The sequence below is a fragment of the Homo sapiens genome, chromosome 3 (genome assembly GCF_000001405.40).
Source record: "Homo sapiens chromosome 3, GRCh38.p14 Primary Assembly".
NCBI classification, from domain to species: Eukaryota; Metazoa; Chordata; class Mammalia; order Primates; family Hominidae; genus Homo; species Homo sapiens.
The window spans coordinates 167,637,336-167,658,227 of NC_000003.12; the positions used below are offsets into that span (position 1 = coordinate 167,637,336).

Below are 20,892 nucleotides of genomic sequence, written 5' to 3' on the forward strand. Positions count from 1 at the left end.
TGTTCTGTTGGTCTATGTGCCTATTTTTATACAAGTACCATGCTGTTTTGGTGACTATGGCCTTAAAGTATAGTTTGAAATCAGGTAATGTGATGCCTCCAGATTTGTTCTTTTTGCTTAGTCTTGCTTTGGCTATGTGGGCTCTTTTTTGGTTCCATATTAATTTTAGGATTGTTTTTCCTAGTTTTGTGAAGAATAGTGGTGGTATTTTGATAGGAATTGCTCTGAATTTGTAGATTGCTTTTGGCAGTATGGTCATTTTCACAATATTACTTCTACCCATCCATGAGCATGGGATGTGTTTCCATTTGTTTGTCATCTATGATTTCTTTCAGCAGTGTTTTGTAGTTTTCCCTGTAGAAGTCTTTCACCTCACCTCCTTGGTTAGGTATGTTCCTAAGTATTTTATTCTTTCTTTTGCAGTTATTGTAAAAGGAGTTAAGTTCTTGATTTGATTCTCTGCTTGGTTGCTTTTGGTGTATAGAAGTGCTACTGATTAATTTTGTATCTGGAAATTTTGCTGAATTCTTTTATCAGTTCCAGGAGCTTTTTGGAGTAGCCTTTAGTGTTTTCTAGGTATAGAGTCATATCATCAGCAAACAGCAACAGTTTGACTTCCTCTTTACCAATTACTTTGAACAAGACAACAAGATCAATGCTCTTTGAATATGTACACTTCAGTGTAGAGACTAGGTGTGCTGGTTACTAATAACACATGTTTTTAGGTTATTGAAAGTAATAAGAAAGTAATAAGCATCACATTAACTTGTTTTTCCTAATTTTAAATGGAATATAGCCTTTAAGCATGCTGAAACATTCCATTAAAAGGTATCTTGTATGGACTAGATAACTTTCCATAATTTTGAAGTTGTCTGATTTTATTTCAGATCATTAGAATCCTGCAATGCTTTTTTCTCTACATGAAAAATTGCTCATAATTGAATCTCAAAATTTTATTTTCTTCATAACCTGCTAGTTTTATCAACCACTTCACCAAAATTGATATTTCTTTTGTCAGACATTTGGCATGATTTTTCTTTAATGTTCCATGACAGCTGAATGAGTATACACTATCAAAATGCAGCCTTTTCCCCTATAACTATAATTAAATTTAAAATTAACATGCTGGTTTCTCATGCTTCATTCTGTTGTACTTGCCTCAATTTCCCTTGGTTACAAAGCATATTGGTTATGAATATGTATTAGGTTTTGCTGTCAAATTCTGTGAACGTCTCCTGGAGCAGAAGATTAGATATGTTATTGCAAAACAGATGCATCAGTTTATATCATCCCCTGCAATTTTTACCTACTAATGAACATTTATGAGAAAGTGAACAACAGAACAGGGGAAATTACTCTGCTAGTCAAGGTCCATAGCGCTCTTTTTTTCTTGCTTCAATAGATTTTAGTAGAATTTAATTTTCATTTATACTATATTATCAATTATTCAAGAGCTCATCAATTTGAATAAAGTTAAAGTTTTGTAACTAACAAAGACACAGACCTTGACTGAATTTAAGGTTTGGAACCAAACTCTCACAAGCCAAAAATTCAACATTTCGATTTCCTATCCAGCTGGTGAATTAGAAGGGAATTGAAGCTGAAGTGGGCAAAAAATCAATAAATCTTTCTCTTTTAAATAAAGATGATCATCACCCCTGAGAAATATAATTGTTCTTATTAATTTTCTCTAAGTCTGTGAAATTCTTCAATATCTGCTATACTTCTAAAGTGATGCTTATCACTATCAGCTTTTGTGCCTAGGCTAGAAACTTGGGGGAATAAGCCTGACCAGTGAAATAGTGCAGCCAACAGAGAACTGAGCTTCATTGATTTTCATTTGGAAATCTCACTGTAGCAATACAAATATATACTTTTTTAAATTGCTGTTCCTTTGTTGGAGACCATGATTATGGCAAAGAAGTTTATGCATCCATAGGATCATAGATTAATACCATGTTGGAGCTAGAAGAAAGTTTAGAGAATCTACACCAAACCCTTCATTTAAAAGGAAGAAACTGATGTTCAGGCTTATTAAGAAAAGACTTCTCTGAGGTCACATAGTTCACTATTAGCAGAAATAGGCCTAGAACCAAAAATTTCCAATTCTTAACCACTTTTACCACAATTCAAATATATTGGCTTCAACAAAATCTGATTTTCTTTAGGATAACATGGTCATCAACAAACCAGAAAAATATGAGATTGGAATGTATACTCCCAAATAATCTCATACTGTTTTGATAAAAGCTATCTATTTAGAAGCCTAAAGCTTTATAATGATATACTTACTTTTCACATATAAACTTTGAATCGATAAGATAAACATAAAAAGTCAGAAAGACTCTAATCCAGGTTCTGAGGGGAAATTTTCACCAAACTGTCAGCTCTTTCTTGCTGTCACATCCTTCTCAAACCAAAGATCCAACTTCAACCAATCTCTGGTAATTATCTTCATTCTTTTGTTCTGCCATCCTTTCATCCCAGATATCTGGCAAAACACAGCATTGGAAAAGCATCCTCTCTGTGCCTATACCTAGGCTGCTGAACACTAATGGACAGGGCAGAATGATGTCACCACAACAAAATACATGATCTCCAACCTCAAATGTCCCTCTATACTACTAGGAATCCTTCCATGTTTTCTTGCTGAACTCTCACTCTGATTCTCTGCTTCTTTCAAACTCCTACTTTATTATTTCCCTTCCCTTCCTAATAAAGAAATTTGACTCCTAACTCACAAGGAAAAGGAACGAAAGAAAGAGAATGAAAAGGGGGAGAAAGAAATGGAGGAATCAATTAGATAGAAATGTCCTCAATGTTTTTGCACCCGCATATATAATGACCTATATCTGCAGCCATCTCCTTCTCCCCTGTGACAGCAGAACTTCTGTGTTCTGGATACAACCTTCTCCCACCACCTCGAGAATCTCTTCTATTGTTATTCTCTCTTGTTCTCTATTGACTCCTTTTCATCAGCATTTAAACATGATCAAGTCATTCGAATTATTAACCATCTTCCGTTGACATTGCCATCTGTTTTTTGCTACTGTCTCATCCTTCTTTCACAGCCAACTTGAAACAATCATGTTCTCACATTGTCTCAATTTCTTCACCTCCAGCTTACTTAACCTGTTGCAATCCAGCAGTTCCACTGAAGCTGCTCGTAACAAGAAGACCAAAAATCCTGTGGCTAAACATTTCAATACATTTTTTTCTGGTTCTCATCTGATAAAAGTGAAAATGTACCAAGTTAATGTTTGGTGCCAAAATATCTTTGTTTGAGAAAATACCTTGAGATTCCCGTTTAGTTGGAAAATGAAATCTGAGTTATGTGCAAGACCCCAATCAAGAAAGAACAGGGATCAAGCTGCTGTAAAAAAGAGGAAAATAATTTGGTATTTGTTTTTATTGATTTTTTTATTCGATTACACAGAGGGAGAGAGAAGGAAATGGTGGTTGAAATGGGAGGTGGAAAGGATGGGAGACTCCAAGATGGCAGAGGGTTGCATGGTAATAAAGTGCCATCGAGAAAACCCCACAGGCAATATGGCTAAAATTATTTTAATAATGGAAGTGTCTGTGTGTTTCTGACATATTTCTCACTCCAACCCATACACCTACTTCCCAAAAACCTTCGGTTGCATCTACTCGACTTGTAAATGCTTACTGAATGGAAAGTCCTGAATAACTACATAAGGAGCTGAGTCTCAGGCATGTGTTAATCTGATAGAGAACAGAGATGGCAGCTGCAATGGAGGGCAGGCAGAGGTGATTTTACATTTGCAGAAATTTGGAAAGGGCTTTGGATTTCCAATATTATGGCATAAGGGTTCGAGCCAATGATTCCATATCTCCAAGTCTGGAAGGCTCCCACCCATGAGTTATGTGTTTTTATGATGTGTCTCTGCAGAATTTGCCTCTGTTGACTCTTCCCTACTTCTAAGAACATTTGCTTTCCTTGGTTTACATTACACTGTGTTTCTCAGCAACACTTCTGATCACTCCTTCTCAGTATCTCTTGTAAGTACCACTTTTTCTGTGGTACTTACAGAAAGATAAGATGAAGATAAGATAAGATGAGATATTGGTATATCTTAGCTTTTGGCCCTCTGACCTGTTCTCTTCTCACATCATATACCCTAGCTGATTTATATGACCCAATTTCTTAGGCTTCAAACATGGTCTAATTGCTGAGAATGCCCAAAGAAATATCTTTATCTAGACCTCTCTTCTGAGCACTAAACCTTTATATCCTATTTCTCTTCTGGATATATTAACTTGGAAGTCCTATGTAGATAGTTCAAATCAACATGTTAAATAACAATTCATTTTCCCTCAAAAATAATCTTTTTTCCTCTTTTCTTTAGATTTAAATATTTTCAGAATTAAACACTGGGGGAAAACACAGCCTACAGGTCCAAGAATATGACAGAGGTTGAATGAACCAAACTACATTTAACAAAAGAGTATAATACAGCTGTTAAACAAATGAAAATACTCTCTATCAACTTATATAGAGATACATTGTTAATCAAATACAATTAAAATGCCACAGAGAATAAACGTATGCTATGTTTATGTGAGAGAGAAAAAAAGGTAAAAAAAATACACATAGACATACATGTATTTAAAAAACAAAACCACAGAATAAAATGTTCAGAAGTTAATGAAAATTGTTATCAAGACAGAATGAGAGGATGGGAAGAAAAGGATAGGGAAGAGAGTAAAATTTTCCTAAGTATGCATTTTTATACTGTTTTGACTTGAGAACTATAAAAATGTTTCATATAGTCAACAAGATAAAATCAAAACAAAGATTTTTTAAACTCTAAAATTTAATATGTATATATACTAACCTAACCATGTAACAAGCTTACACAACCACACAGTAAGAGAAATTAATTTTAATATCTATAAGCCCAGTTCTCTAACCCATGTACCTGTAATGCAATATAATGCAAAAAAACTGCAAATAAGTCTTGAATTTTACTTTCATTTTTAGAGTAGTGTTAATATAATAGTTCCAAAACTATTTCATATACATTACAGAATAAAGCATACAAATAAATATATTAGTGCTGCTAGAACAAAGGTTCAAAATGTGAGAGCATGGAAATACAAATGATACAAATATGGAGTGACGGAGGGGAAGAACCCTGTGGTATTTGAATTGAATTGGAAGTATTAGTATAAGTTCATTAGTTTTAAAAATATGTATAGATCAATAAATATAAATATTGATTTAGATAGGTATAGATATATCCTAGCTATGTCAACTGAAAGTACCTGGAAGCAATGACACCCCTAATAGCAATGAACACACTACTACCCAGATCCTGTTATTCTCAATACCATTCTCCAATAAATGGAACTGGGGATCCCTGGAGAAATGGCTGGTTCCAGGTCTTGGGCACATCATCTTGTGCCAGAAAGCAAAGCAGTAATAACAGATTGATGAAAATATGTTAAAAGGATACAAGGGCTGGCTTGAAGGGGTCTCACACTAGACAAATTTGGGGCATTTTGAGTATCATAAAATAATGACCATAATAGAAAACAGCACATTGAATAGAATAAACGAAGCCATAAATCTGTGGTCAGACTCAAGGCAGAGAGAGAGAATGAGAGGGTGAAAGAGAAGAGGGGCCGAAGACTCTCTCTTACAGAAAGAAAAATGCCATACTGAAAATGAGTAAGAATCAATAGCATTTAAAAATCACCATTTTTCAACCACCAGTAGAGTCATTGTTTCCAGCAAAGATAATCAATCAATAGTCAAACCAATGGATGAAATCTTGTTGAAGAATACTCACAATATAGTATAAAACTATCAGCCCACAAGTTCCTTTACAATGGGTAACTCTGGTGGATCCACTTCAATCAAGGGACCCAACGTATAGCATCACCAGTAATGGGACAAATTGACATAATGGGACTCTCGATGCCTTACAAGAGGTGGAGATAACTACGCAGTATTCTTTCCAAAAATGGTGAAGATGAATCTAACAGTAAAGAATCAATCAGAAAATCCAGATAATGGGATGTTCTAAGTAACTGGCATGAATTCTTCAAAAATGTTTATGTCATGAAAGACAAGAAAAAGTGGGGGACTCCTCAAGATTAAAGGAAACTAAACAGATGAAAGAGATGTGTCAACTAAAGCAAATGTATAATTCTGTATTGGATCTGTGATTTTATATAAAAGACATTACTGGGACGAAAGGGGACATTTTAATATCAACCTTTTCATTAGGTAATGTATAAAGTTGAATTTCCTGTGTACAAAAATGGCATTATGGTTATCTAGAAGGATGCCTTTGTTCCTAGGGAAGTTTACTTAAAATATAGCCCTCCATAAAGGAAGGCCTATGTCTAAGCAGATTTTAACTGACACAGGGTAGACATTCAATAAATACCTGTTGTAAGAATGAGTAAATGATAAATATATTGTAAATATTCTCTTCTATATTGAGGAAGAGATATTCATCTATTTTACTGATAATAGCAAGTTTGGGGAGGGGATCATAATAGTGAATGATGGCCAAGATTATAGAATAATAATGTATAAAATAACTTTGGGAAATTATAAATAAGTCAAAATAGAATTAAATTGTTCACTAGAGAAAAGAAACAAAAACTGGCTACCAGATCATGTTGGACAATGTTCTGGCTCTGCAAATCACTCAATAGAAAATGACAAATTCCCCCCAATCCCCACCTTTTTTTTTTTTTTTTGGATTTCTCTTCATCACCTGTAAAATAAAGACAGTAGAGTGGTTCTCTATGTTCTCTCTCTTAATGCTAAAATTCAATGGAAGGAAATTAATGCTCTGAGTATAAGGACATAGTATCTATAAAAGGCACTGCTTTTAAATTCAGCACTCTTAATTTCAGCATTACTAGACATACATTTAGAAATAGTACCCCAGAGTCTTTAGGTTATGAAGACATGCCAGCATTTTAAGAACATTTATGTTTGCATTGAATTATGGTATAGATAAGGTGCCCACAAACCCATTTGCTATAACTTGCCCCACTACAATCACAGTTCTCTTTTTCTATAACCTCTACACCACATAAATATGTACATTTTTTATTTTAGAATATGATTATGCATTATTCTGTGATTTTCTTGTTTTCACTGAACATCAAATCTTGGGCAATCTTACATAAGTCTTCCTTATTCTTTTTAATAACTGAGTAATAGGAGTATACCACAATTTACTTATCCATTCATCCAGTTGATGAATATTTGGGTTATAAATACTCCAGTTTGTAAGTGATATTACAATCATATTTTTGCATGTATTTTTTTCTGTACTTCAGAATGTATTTAGGGAAGCTTGGAGGATTAGAATTGCTGATTAAAAAGTATACATGTGGTACATTTTATATTTGATATATAAAGGCAAATTGCCTTCCAGAAAAGCTTTGTCAATTTACAATCTTAGTAAGAGTGCCTATTCCCTTGGTTCTTCACCATCAGTGAATGTTATTGATCTTTTTAATATTTGCCAATCTGATGATTATAAAAAGAACGTCTTCTTTCTGATTAGAGTATCAAATCAAATTCTTAACAAGTTTGGGTGCCTTTTCACATGATTAGAAGCTATTTATGTAGCATTCTTTCTTGAATACATAAAATATAATATATGTAAATATATTCTACATTAAAAAAGCTACATGAGATATGTATATGTGTATATATGGATAAAAATGCACTTAAAATACACCAGAAAATATTAAGAGTAGTTACCCAGGGGAGTATAATGACTGAGAATGGACCATGCTAAGGGGGAAATTTCATGTTTAGCTTGGATTTTTTACCATGAGAATAATGTTACTTTTATTTATTTAATTTAATTTATTTATTTATTTATTTTTAGTTTTGAGATTGAGTTTCGCTCAGTCACCCAGGCTGAAGTGCAGTGGTGCAATCTCAGCTCACTGCAACCTTCACCTCCCGGGTTCAAGCAATTCTCCCCCCTCAGCCTCCCGAGTAGCTGGGATTACAGACACCTGCCATAATGCCTGGCTAGTTTTCGTATTTTTGTAGAGATGGGATTTTACCATGTTGGCCAAGCTAGTCTTGAACTCCTGACCTCAAGTAGTTGTGCCCGCCTTGGCCTCCCAAAGTTCTGGGATTACAGGCGTGAGTCACCATGCCCAGTCTTATTTATTTTAATAATACAAGGATTGCTAAATAGGAATCATAAAAATAAATGAAATTTTATATGGCTGGCTATACCCTCCTTTTTTGTTTGTTTGCTTCTTCTCCTTCTACTTCTGGAAAATAACTCAGCTGCTTTATTTCTTGTACCAACTCCAGTTGTTTCTCCACCACCTTGAAGAATTTTGTAAGGTCCAGTCTTAAACAGTCTGTTCTCTCCTACAGATATCTCATCTCATGGCCTCTCTCCTCCAGAATCTATGTTGCGATTCTCTCACACTCAATTTTGTCTCTCATAGCCTGCCTGGGACTTCTATTTGACTTTAAACAAATAATGGCATTGCGTTAATCAGAGCATCTATGATGAAAGCAACCAAAGGAACATATAGGAAGCTATGAGAAGAGAAAACAGGGTCATTGTAGGGCGCTAATCCCGCCTGCATGGTAAGAAAAGGCTTTCCTAAGGCAGTGGTATTTACACACATGTGAGTAGGAGTTGGCCAGGAAATTGTTGGGGATGGGAGAGAAATATTCCAAACTGAGGCACCAGCATCTGGTAGGCCCTAAAACAGGAGTAAGTAAAATATGATCAGCATGACTGAAACTCTTTGGGTAATGGCCCAGGTCAGATAATTTTGTGATGGACTCATTGGAACCATAAATCCAGACTAAACACCTGTGTGTGTGTTGGGAGTTGAGAGGAGGGGAGTTGCACCAGAAGGAAGAAGGAAGGATTCCCCTGAAAGGAATAGATCTTCCCATTCTTTACAGTCCTAGGAAGGGAACATGGAAAAATAGGTCTTAGACTAGAGTGAAGAGAAATATTTTCTGCTATCTCTGGGGCCAAGGATCAGTTTGGCCTCTGGGTTCTAAGACATGGGCAGTCTGATGTGTTTATAGTGGGATTGAGGAGCTGAGAGTAGCTCCTTGCCACAAATATATGTCCAGAAGTGAGGAAGCAGAACAAGTTAGTACGAAGTCATGAGAAAGGGTTCGAAGCAGCATTGTCCAATGGAACTTTCTGCAATGATGAAAATGTTCTATATTCTTTGCAGTCCAGTATAGTAGCTACTGCGTACTTGAAATGGCTGGTGCTTGTGAGGAACTGAACTTTATTTTATGAAATTCTTACTTTATTTAAATAACCAAATGTAGCACATATTGAAGAGTACACATCTGTAGCAAAACTAGTGTGATAATTTGGCCTTGGGTCTATTGAGAAGATTAGAGAAAGGTGTACACATGCACACATGGGAAGTGAAGCAGTAGAGGAACATAATGTCTCTGGTAATGCCTCCACAGAGATGTCGGTGCCTAGAGAATCAGGATTTCATAATAGTCACATCCATAGAACGTTGGTGAGACATGATGAAGGGAGAAAAGACCCCAAGGGGCTTTTTCTTGCACAAGTATGAGGTAGAGCCTTGGGAAACGGTCAGAAATCACTAAGGGACAGTTTAGAGGATTCCTATTTCTAGCAATAGAGTGAGGGTGTCTTGTGTCATCATTAATACGTTATACTTGGCAAAATGTGACAAATTGAAACCAAAATGCCACAAATAATGGTTCTTTCATTCTTTTATTCATTTTTCTTGTTTAACTCTCAGGAAAATTTCAAAAGTAGCAGTGCCCTTAGTTCACAAGTCTGGCTAAGCTGATGCACTACACATGAACAGCAGTAGACATCTTTGCTTTCTTTCTCCCTCCCTCCTCTGTAACAAGCTTTTCTTGGTTGTCTTCACTTCTCCAGTTTTGGCCAACACTCAAGGTTAAACCACTTGTTTACTAAAGGCACTCTTCATCACACACTGATCCAGATTAATTTTTGTAAGTGCCTGTTGTAAAAGTACACAGAGAGTTTGAAAAGGCAGGAAGCTGTTAGAACTTGTCACAAAAATCAGCACAAAGGCAGCAGGATTTGGAAGGCAAATTTTTCATTTGTAGTGAGATACAACTTCACTTCCTTGAGTTTTGGTGATGACGCCATTTGCTAGCATTATTCATGAATTTTAACAAATCAGATAAAACCACCACAGAATTCCTCTGCCATTTCTAATTGTGCCAACTGCAGTAGTATTGGATTTGTCTTCATGCTATCACCTTAATGTTTTCTGCTGCCATTAAAAATAGGTATTTTGATTGCACTAAGAGCAATGCGTGAGAAATGGTATGACCTGCTGTCTTTGTTCAGCAGATGATGAATTGACTGAGGCTGCAGAATGCACTTTTTACTATATACAGGTGAGACTAAGCTTCACCTGTTTACCTTCTCACAAGTCTCCACTGAGATGCCTTTAGAAAGAAAAAAATATTTTTCAAAAAAGCAATTGGTTATTATCTTCTTTTCATTCTTCCACCCTTTCTCTACCTTGATTTCATTGTAGCAGTTGTTGATTATTTGCTGATTATGCGTTAGTTCCAAGTTAGCAGAGCACAGGGCCTGTGCACTATTAACTTAACATGCATTTTGTTTAGGAAATCTTTATCCTGTTGGATTCATGTTCCTTAGAGCAACATGCCAAAGGAAGGTTATCTTGTGGCCAGTGGAAATCATGCCATATATGGACTCCAAAGTTGACAATCTGCCTCTGAGTTCTGGCTCTGCCCATGGGAGAATTCAATTGAATATTTTTAGTCCTTCATCTCCTTATTTGTAAATGGGAAGTAAAAATTTATGCCGTGCCTATGTTTCAGGCTGGTAAAGGATCAAATAACATGATGCCAACATAAGTGCTTTATAAAATCTTACTATACTTGAAAGGTATTCAATTTTTATTCATCATTTTTACCTACACTGATTTCCAGAAAGAATTTTAGTTCAGTTACAACAGAAGATACATAGGCAATAGGACCGACTATTAAAACAAAGATAAAAGAACAAGAATTATATAATAAAATAGCAGATTATTGTCCCAGAAAACCTAAGTTAAGCATAGTTGTAAGAGTTGAACACTAAATTTAGCTTTGAACTTCCTGGCAGCTAAGACAGAACACAAAATACAATTAGACACAAAGGTCTCCATAATTTACAAACTGAAGCATGCTGGTTCATTAGGAGAGAAGGAAATTTTCCTCCCACAAAATTCTAAGAGGACCATGGGTGAGATCATTATCTGGGCACACAGCTGTCCCTACTTGCCATACGACTTGAAGTAACTTGAAGTTACCTGTAGCCATATGACTGAGTGCTGGCCAATGGGATGTGAGCTGGACCACAGAAAACATTCCCTAGTGCTCTCCACTGCTACCAGCTGATGTATGGCTTGTGTAGAAGGCGGAAGGTGGGGACAGCCTGAGACCTGAATCCTTGCTTGCAACTGCTTACCCATTAGAAATACCTGCTTTTTACTTTATGTGAACAGGAAATAATACCTCTGTCATGTTGCAGATATTATATATTTTACACAGTTTGCATACACTATAAAAAATATTTTCTAATTCTCAGCATTGTTGGATAGCATAATATCCAACTTTATACCTTAACAGTTTTATCTAAGAAAAAATTTTAAATGAACTTTATGGACCATCTCATTTTATCAGAGATAAGAACATCTAAAGGTTCTGGGGAAAGGGAGTGAAACAAAAATGAGTAATTTTATTTATGTGTTTGGGATGGTGGTGCCTGGGTAGAAAGGCAAGAAGGAAGATATAAGAATAGTTTTGGAGTATGAGACACGTCTAGGAAGACCTGTTCATTTGGGTACCTTAGTAGTGAAGGTACAATGGGCAATGAGAAGGCCTAGAGAAGGATGGGTCCTCCATAAATTTGGAGGAAGCTTGACAGTTTAGAAAGAAGGACAAGTTAAAAAAAAGGTAAGAAAAGGCCCAATCTGACTTTCTATATTCCTGTAGAGCCTAGCTTGCCTGGCAGGACATCAACATCCTCAGCTTTGTCTTGAAGCAAACAAGCACAGTTCATAGACCCTGCTGTAGAATGCTTTCTAAAATCCCCAAGATACTGTTGAGGTGTTTTGGGAATTTTATAAAGATAATCAAGGATGAGAATATCAAAATTCTTTAAATGTAATTGTATTACCCGTTAAGCACAATTCTAGAACTTGCAGAATTGACTACTGAACTTCTCCAGTCTTTTGAGATTCAGTTTGAATAAGTGCATTGTGTTTAGATCTCATTCACCTCCAAGACAGATTTGTTTTAAGAATTCTCACCACACAGTCTCTGGGGCAGTCTTGCTAGGATTTTTACTGTGCCTTTCTTACACTAAAACTATTTGGCCCTTCCTACTTTAAGGATAAATACCTCACATTTTACATGTGGCTTCTAGGTATAGTTAAAGCTAAAGATTTAGTAGGGCTTGGGCAAATGATAGCATGGAGCTGACAGGGTAAAGCCAGCCTCCAGCTCTCAGCTTACAGTCAGGCCAGAACAGGTGTGCCAGGAGAAGATATAGACACAGTTGCTGATAAAGGCAGTTCAGGACCTAACCTGGAGAGCCCAGGAGCACAGGGCAAACTATGGTCTCAGACCAAACGGGCAGCAATTAATCTAGGATCAAGGTCCAATGTTAAACCATCATTGACATACAGAGATCAACAATGGAGAATGTAAAAAAAGAAACACTCAGAACCTACATAGCCAGACTCTCAGGAGAAGCTCAATAAATATCAAGCTCCATGGCTTTCCCAAAGTTCCATTTTCCTTAGACCAAAATTTTTACTTCTCACCACTCCTATAAAATCAGCAAACCACAGCTACTCTTCCTCAAACAATAGTTGGCTTTTGGAGTTTCAAAGAAAATGTAAAATATGGTTGACATCAAAATAATATGAGCATCCAGAGACCATGTCATTTCTCTAAGTATTGTAAGTGCTACAGGGAAGTTTGAGTAACAACCATTTTACGATTCTATGAATAATGCAAGTTTCTCTCCCTTCAGGCTGATATATGGCTCTTTTGACACCATCACTTAAAGGAAAATGAAATCCACAAGTTACTTTTCTGTGCTTCTACCCAGGTAACTTATTTGTTCCAAAGAAAAGAATCAAGACGTCAATTAGAATTTTTGCCTGCTAAGAAAATATGAAATGAGAGATAGAACAATTATGCTTTTGACTCTTCTATGTGAATTTATGTCTTTGCAGCTCTAACCACTTCCTTCCACAACTAATAGGAATGAAGACGCATAGCAGCAAGTGTCACTTGAAGTTTAATTTCCTTTAAGAAAAGTATGAATTAGAATCAAGGCACTGTCAGAGGTCACATGGTTTAACTTCTACTTACTAAATGAGATAATTAGCTCAATTATCTAATGTTAATTGAGCACTTACTCTCTGTGGCATGCACTTTTTAAAGTGCTTTCCAGATAGTACCTCCTCTAATCTTCATGAAAGCTCTGTTATCCTCATGTTAGAAATAAAGGAAACTGAGGCCCAGAGAGATTAAGTATTTGCACAGAGTCACATTGTAAGTAGCAAAGCCGGGATTTAAGCTCAGGAAATCTGACTCCTAGATCTGAAACACTGCATGATTCTGATCCATTTATACAACTGCACAATGAACATAAGCACTAATTGCTTTATTCCTAAATGTTACTACTACGATTAGTATGGTATGTGATATTTTATTCGGAAATACACGTAAAACATTTACTGCATAATTCAAAGACCCAACTTCCTGTTTTTTCACTTAAGAATTGCCACTGCTATTTAAGGAGATGGACTTCACCTAATATCTGACAACTCTTCAGCCCCAAACAAGCAATCTGTGTAAGAAAAAAAAAATGAAGATATAAAGGAATCTGGTGCCAGAATCTTGACATTTCTAAGAGCATGTCCTTAGTAACTGGACCACAAATCACTGCCTTTAGAGTTCAAAGTTGCAGGAATGCTATTGAGGGCATTTTATCCTTTTACAGCAATCTATACCTGTGGCCTCTGGGCCTAAAACTCATGACAGATGGACTGGATACCATTAAAGTCATCTAGTGCATCATTCTTCTTTAGGTGTCCGTGCTGTGTTTGGAAATCATGTTGGCTCAAAGGTCTAACTTTTAGTACTGGCTGCACATGTGCCATGGGATTATTCCATTCTCTGGCTGTTGAGTCTGCTAAAATGGATGAACTTCATTTTTTTTTTTTGAAGGTACACCTGCAAAGCTCAATTTCTTTTTTAGAAAAACTGTCTATGTTCATACAAGCTCCGAATTACCTTCTCTTCTCCTCTTTGGTCCATTAGTTCCTGCTTTTCCAACCGGTAATGTCAAAATAAGTGGTCTGGCCTTTGAAATATTTAACATAAAATAGAAATAAATTAAAACTTGAGGTTGAATTTTCCAGTTTCACTTGGGTTCATTCAAGACTAATCTGCAGTTTGGAAAGAACACCCACCTCTAACCTTCTGAAGCAGTTTCACCAACACATCAACTTTATAATGTAGACTCTCCTAATAGGCCCTAGCATTCAAATTCTTTGTGTTCTTAGCACCGGAACAAAACTGCCACATTTCTGTTCACTATAGAGTCAAAGCTGTCATAATCTGCTGTTATGTTTTACTGAATGTCCTCAAGCTGTCAAAATGTTTGCTATGTCTATCAAAATATGCTAAATTTACTTGGGGCACTGGGCATGAGCAGCAGCAGTGAAATCTTTCAGACAAATGAGGTTGGTTGAATAGCAAATATATGAAGGTTGAAATGAGAAAAGTGTAGGACAGAGCATGTCTTGCTACTAAATATGATAAGTTCTATTATAAAGAAATGATTGATACTATTGGGACATTAATTTATCAATACAGGTGGAACCCAACTTGTTATATTCTTTTGTGGATATCCAAAGATAAAAATGTGTGCCTATTACAGGCTAATATATTGTGAGCTTTTATTATATTTTATTAATTTCCAGGTGGTATTCCAAAATATTTTCTATTTCAAATTAGTATGGATACTCCAAGCACCCACGGACAATCTTAAGAAGGCCCTAGATCATACTTTAGTAAACATAATATAGTAGAAATGTTGGAGGCTCATGACTACCTAAATTCTACGTCATGGAAGAGCACTTCTTTCTACCCATATTTGAAACTAAAAACCACTTTGATGTATGCTGTTCATTATGCATAGCTGCAGAATTCAAAATTCATTGACTAAGAGAGAAGAAAATTATTCATTTACAGTTAAATTCCTATGGTTTATTTTTTATGCAGAGTTAAAATGAAAAATTCTAATTTTGTTTTTATTGGCATTGTTCCAGGATTTACAAAATGAGTGGGAGACTCGTCCCTCATAAGGGATCTTGGGACAACAAAGTGCCAGAATCAGCTTAGAAAAGGAGCTGTGCCACTTAGGGTGAGTGAGACAGGAGGAAATTTTTTGCAAACTGGGTATGCATATTTGCATTTGCTGAGTTCTATGTCCGTATTAAATGCAAGAACAATTATTCCTGGAGGTCACCTTAGAGATCTGGCTTTCTTCACTCACAGCCATAATTTTTTGTTTCCCCAAAATATGTTGATCTCTAAGAAAAAAATTTTTTCCAACAATAAATAGTTCTTTCTTGATAGTAATGAAATTCAGTGAAGCAATTTCAAACTAAAGAATATTATTTGGCCCAAAGAACTGAGGGGCAAAGCTACCAAGCACATTGTGTTAAATCCAGGCCTAACCAATTATTTTTAATTCTCTGCTATAACAATTAAGTGTATTTTTTTAATGCTTAAAGAAAAATATCTCTGTGTTTCATTCTAGGCTCCTTCATGAACAACTCAAACTATCTGGTCAATAAGCTTCACACTTACCTCAAAGGCCTTCTGTATTTTTACAAAGTCACCCACGCTGAGTTGGTTTTCAAGCAGGCCTGTGCCATAGTCTTCAAATGCAGTTACACCTTCTGTTCTCTCAGGACTCTTTGGCCCAAGCTGTGACCCTATGTTTAACTCAAGTACAGCTTTCTGGCAACTCATAATGGCTTCACCTTTTCTCAGTTGCCTTCAACTATTTCTATAAGGATGGATCTTCTTTTTCCTTCAACAGGTGCCTTTGAAAAGAAACTCAACTTAGCAACAGAATTCCAAAATGAAAGTACAAACCTTTCAAGGCATACGATCAGGAGGCAAAATGTTCAAGCTGAGGTAGGAAATGAAAGCCCTCAACCCTCTCACTTATTTGATTCTAGAGTTTATTTTCAAAATTTACAGTTGAATGCTTTTAAAATGGTATTTTTACCCCTTCCTTATACTCTGTTTAACCTGGCTTGATTAAAAATGTGTAAAGCTTTCCCCACATTTATAGTAACTGACACAGAAAACAACTTCCAATCCTCATTTTAAATGCATTAGAAAAGCACCTTCCCAAAAATCTCTTTAACTAACCTTGCTTCCATTAACATGTTGTAGTTTTCAATTCCACTTTCTTGTCTGGAAGAGTTAGATGACAAAGCTGCAGAGTTTCCCTACCAATGAAGTACTTGACTCTGAATGCCACCTTCCCAGCAATGTGGAGTTGTTTGTTTCATCTGTTCTGATCCTTTTGTATGTTTCCTGGCAACCAACACAAAGCCAACTAAAACTTTCCCTTTCACTTCCCCCTCTCCAACTGAAAGTTTAAATATATAATGTAAATGTTGAAATGGTTTTTTTTGAAATAAAAGGACAGTTCATTCCACTCATTTTTTATTAAACGACATCTTGTATTATTTAAAGACAACTTTTACCATTATATAGGATATATATTATGAAACTATATGATTAGTCAAAGAGAAAAGCATGAAATTCTGGAATTTTATGTTTTATACACAGAAAATGTTTTATTTTTATATAAAAGGAATCTGTTTCTTATATTCTTTTTGTCTTAGTTTCTATGTATATAAAATAGAGATGGTTCAAAAAAGCTTCCAACTTGTTGAAAATGTGATAAAAAAACACAGCATAACATAATATGATAAATCTAATGATAAAATTGCTTGCAGTGTCATTACTGGTTCAGCTAATAATAATGAAAAGGAGGAGAAAAAGAAGAAAAATTAACATTTTTTGAGTATTAACCATGTGCCAGGCACTAAAACTTTATGTTCATTGTCTTGTTTAAGCTTCACAACAATCCTACAAGGCAGATGTGATCATTATCCCCATTTTACTGATAAAGAAGCAAAAAGCCGGGCAAGGTGGCTCACGCCTGTAATCCCTGCACTTTGGGAGGCTGAGGCAGGTGGATGGCTTCAGCTCAGGAGTTCGAGAGCAGCCTGGGCAACATGACGAGACATTGTATCTAGTAAAAATACAAAAATAATCAGCCGAGCATGGTGGCGCACACCTGTGATCCCAGCTACTCGGGAGGCTGAGTTAGAAGGATCCCTTGAACCTGGGGGGCAGAGGTTGCAGTGAGCCAAGATTGTGCCACTGCACTCCAGCCTGGGCAACAGAATGAGACCCTGTCTCAAAAAAGAAAAAAAAAAAAAGCAAAGAAAATGCCAAAGGTCACACAAATAGTAACATACGGAAGAGAACAGAATGGCTCCCAAACTTCAGATACTGCATGTATTAGTCTGTTTTCACACTGCTAATGAAGACATACCTGAGACTGGGTAATTTATAAAGGAAAGAGGTTTAATTGACTCATAATTTCACATGGCTGGGGAGGCCTCAAAATCATGACAGAAAGCTAATGAGGGCAAAGTCATGACTTACATGGCAGTAGGCAAGACAGCATGTGCAGGGTAACTCCCATTTATAAAACCATCAGATCTCATGAGACTTATTCACTACCAGGAGAACAGTATGGGGAAACCGCCCCCTTGAGTCAATTATCTCCACCTGGCCACGCCCTTGTCATGTGAGGATTATTACAATTCAAGGTGAGATTTGGGTGGGGACACTGCCCAACTGTATCACTGCACTTTAGATGGATGTGCCCGTTGCACTTTATTTTCACTTCTGTAAACTAAAAAGTTGGCATTACATCTTCTCTAGGGTCTCTTCCGGCTCTAACATTCTCTGAGCTGGTGTTCACTAGAGGCATGGTACAGAACAGAGAGAAGAGCATCCTGTAGGAGTTCCTGTACCCATTATAGAAAAAAATGAAGTTTCATTCATGCTTTCATTTTTTCATCCATCTCTCATTATTCTTTCAAAAAAAACATTTATTAAGAGCCTAATAGGCAGGGCACGGTGGCTCATGCCTGTAATTCCATATTTTGGGAAGCCAAGACAGGCAGATCACTTGAGGTCAGGAGTTCAAGACCAGCCTGGCCAACATGGAGGAACCCCGTCTCTACTAAAAATATAAAAATTAGCTGGGCATGGTGGCAGGCGCCTGTAATCCCAGCTACTTGGGAGGCTGAGGCAGGAGAATCGCTTGAACCTGGGAGGCGGAGGTTGCAGTGAGCCAAGATCACGCCACTGCCCTCCAGCCTGAGTGACAGAGATAGACACTGTCTCTCTCTCTCTCTCTATCTCTCTCTCTCTCTATATATATATATGCCTAATATATGTCAAGTCCTGAATTGTGACCTGGTGCCTGCCATAAGGGCTTTACAGTCTAGTCAGGGCAATTATCCGTCTAGCTCATCTTTAATGCCAATTCCAACCTCTTGTGTTCAGTGTTCCAACACAGTGCTGTGTTCAGAGCATTCTGAAGCCATAGCTAGGCTCAAAGGGAAAGAGTGGCATTATAGATGTGTATATATGTATTGATATGTATCACACACACAGAACGGGGGTGTATTTACCAGATTTGCTTTTCTTCGATAAGTCCTTCTTGTAAGTTAGGAAAACATTTTTAAGCCCTAATACTACAAGTTCCCCTAAGTTATCTTACATGGGAACACGATTTGTCTTCTTATCACCCTAGTTAGTAAGTTAATAATACTTTAAATCAGCTGGATCAGCCCCATAAATGTTTGTAAAATGTTTTATAGTGATATTCTAGAGAGTTGGGCTTAGTTCAGTAGCAGACACTAATGAGGGAAGGGAGAAGAAATAGGAAAAACATTCTGTAAAGATGAACCACGAGAGGTAGGTATCCCACTGGCTGACAATGCAAAATTCTCTAATTATTCTAAGACAGACAAGATGCCTGGCCTACTTAGCTTCCATAAAGTTGCAGCCCTAAATGTTTTCATTAGTCAAAACAGGAAAGTATAATGAGCAGCTAACAAATTACAGTAGAAGTTAATCAATTGACACAGTTTTCTTGCTATAAAATTATGACATTAGAAATAATTCTTGATCATAAAGGCTTAAATGGCTCTAACCTTCTCTGTAACTGTGTGGTTAATTTTCAGGTTAAATTCCTGCGGCACTGTAAAATCCATAACTAGTGTCTTGACTGGTGAAATTTTCCCTCTTGCTTGCCATGAATCAAGTATGATATTGTGAAAATCAAGATGGTGACAGTTTAATCACCTTTAGAAGGCCAAAAAGCAGATTGACACTTGCCCCCTTCTCCTGTAGGGATCAGACAACACCTGCCAGCATAGTGGAGCCCTAAGCACCAAGAGGGCAGAGTAAGCTGATACATCCATTGGCCTTTGACACTTTGGGACTGAATAATTCTCCCCACCGAATAGACACACCCATCTGTGTCTTTATCACAATTCACAGTCCACACCCAAATCCCTGCTCTCTCCTTCCCCCACAATTTATTGCCACTGACATAAATATAGACCTTCCTTTTATATTATTTAAGGACTACTTTTTACCATTATATTTTCTACAAAGTAGGATACATATTATGAAACAATATGATTAGCCAAAGAAAAGAGCATTAAATTCTGGAATTGTATGTTTTACACAGAGAAAATGTTTTATTCTTAAAGGATAGGAATCCATTCCTTATATTCTTTTTGTCTTAGTTTCTATGTATATAAAATAGAAATGGTCCAAAAAAGCTTCCAACTTATTGAAAATGTGAGAAAAACACAGTATACCATAATATAATAAATCTAATGATAAAACTGGTTCAGCTAATAATAAAGACAAATGAGATACATCTCTATGCCCACCATTGCTCAGAGACACATGTCTGAGCATAACATGCCCTACAAGGCAGTTATGATCATTAGCCCCATTCTCCTCCCCCCCCACAATTTATCCCCACCAACATATAGATCTCCCTTTTCCTTTTCTTCTAACTCCTCTTTCTTTCTTTGCCCACCATTCACACTGAAGCCTGTTCTTACTCGTTAATCTTTGCCTAAATTCTCCCTCCACCTCCTCACTTCAACTGAAATCAGTTTTACCTTAGGAACCTCATTTCCGGCCCAGCCTTCTCAGGTCCTCACTGCTCCTTGTTCTTCTCAAGTCCTCACTGCTCCTTCTCAAGTCCTCACTGCTACAGGAAGAGAAAGAAAGGATGTTTTTCCCATCATCTTCTTGCCTCTTGACCTCATGCCTTCCAGCAAAGCCCCAGACACCCGCTGGCTCTGTGTAAAGGAACCTCCTCTCAAAGCCTGGGGAAAGCTCTGGCCCTGCCCTTGGCACCTTTTAAGCCCTCAACAGATATTAGTTTCTTTCCTTCTTTGTTCCTTATCCTCCCAGTTAGAATTAATTACTCCTTTCACTCTGCAACCACAGCATTTTTTTCAGACTTTAAACACAGCACTGTTTCTTCCTGCTTTGTAATGTAATTAGTTGTCTGTGTATCTCTCTCTCCCATTAGATTAACTCCTAAGAACAGGGATGATACCTCACTAATGCTGCAGCCTTACATTGCCCAACATGGTGTTCTGCATAAACTTCTCGACACTACAGCAATGTATGCTCATTTG

The 20,892-nt window shown here is 36.8% G+C and overlaps 1 protein-coding gene across 4 annotated transcripts in view, besides 2 other annotated features; it reads right to left on the reverse strand.

Annotated features, from left to right (window-relative positions):
* The window catches only part of WDR49 (WD repeat domain 49), a 179,240-nt gene extending 158,652 nt beyond the window's left edge, over window positions 1-20,588 (reverse strand). For 3 of the 4 annotated variants that reach the window (NM_001366158.1, NM_001348952.2, NM_001366157.1), the window contains exons 1-2: window positions 16,499-16,607; window positions 15,926-16,164 (exon numbers count right to left, since the gene is read on the reverse strand). Coding sequence is in view for 3 of the 4 variants with exons in the window: in NM_001348952.2 (NP_001335881.1) it covers window positions 15,926-16,090 (165 nt within the window). In the remaining variant the exon portion in view is untranslated. Of the gene's footprint in view, window positions 1-15,925; window positions 16,165-16,498; window positions 16,608-20,364 lie in introns of those variants that run through there. The other variant, NM_001348951.2, reaches the window with a different exon arrangement.
* Window positions 15,821-16,344: an enhancer, noted in NCBI's record as "NANOG hESC enhancer chr3:167370944-167371467 (GRCh37/hg19 assembly coordinates)". NCBI's record gives its function as "activates a minimal SCP1, AML or CMV promoter by ChIP-STARR-seq in naive H9 embryonic stem cells {active_cell/tissue: H9 hESC(naive)}" and the evidence as "EXISTENCE:reporter gene assay evidence [ECO:0000049][PMID:30033119]".
* Window positions 16,345-16,867: an enhancer, noted in NCBI's record as "OCT4-NANOG hESC enhancer chr3:167371468-167371990 (GRCh37/hg19 assembly coordinates)". NCBI's record gives its function as "activates a minimal SCP1, AML or CMV promoter by ChIP-STARR-seq in naive H9 embryonic stem cells {active_cell/tissue: H9 hESC(naive)}" and the evidence as "EXISTENCE:reporter gene assay evidence [ECO:0000049][PMID:30033119]".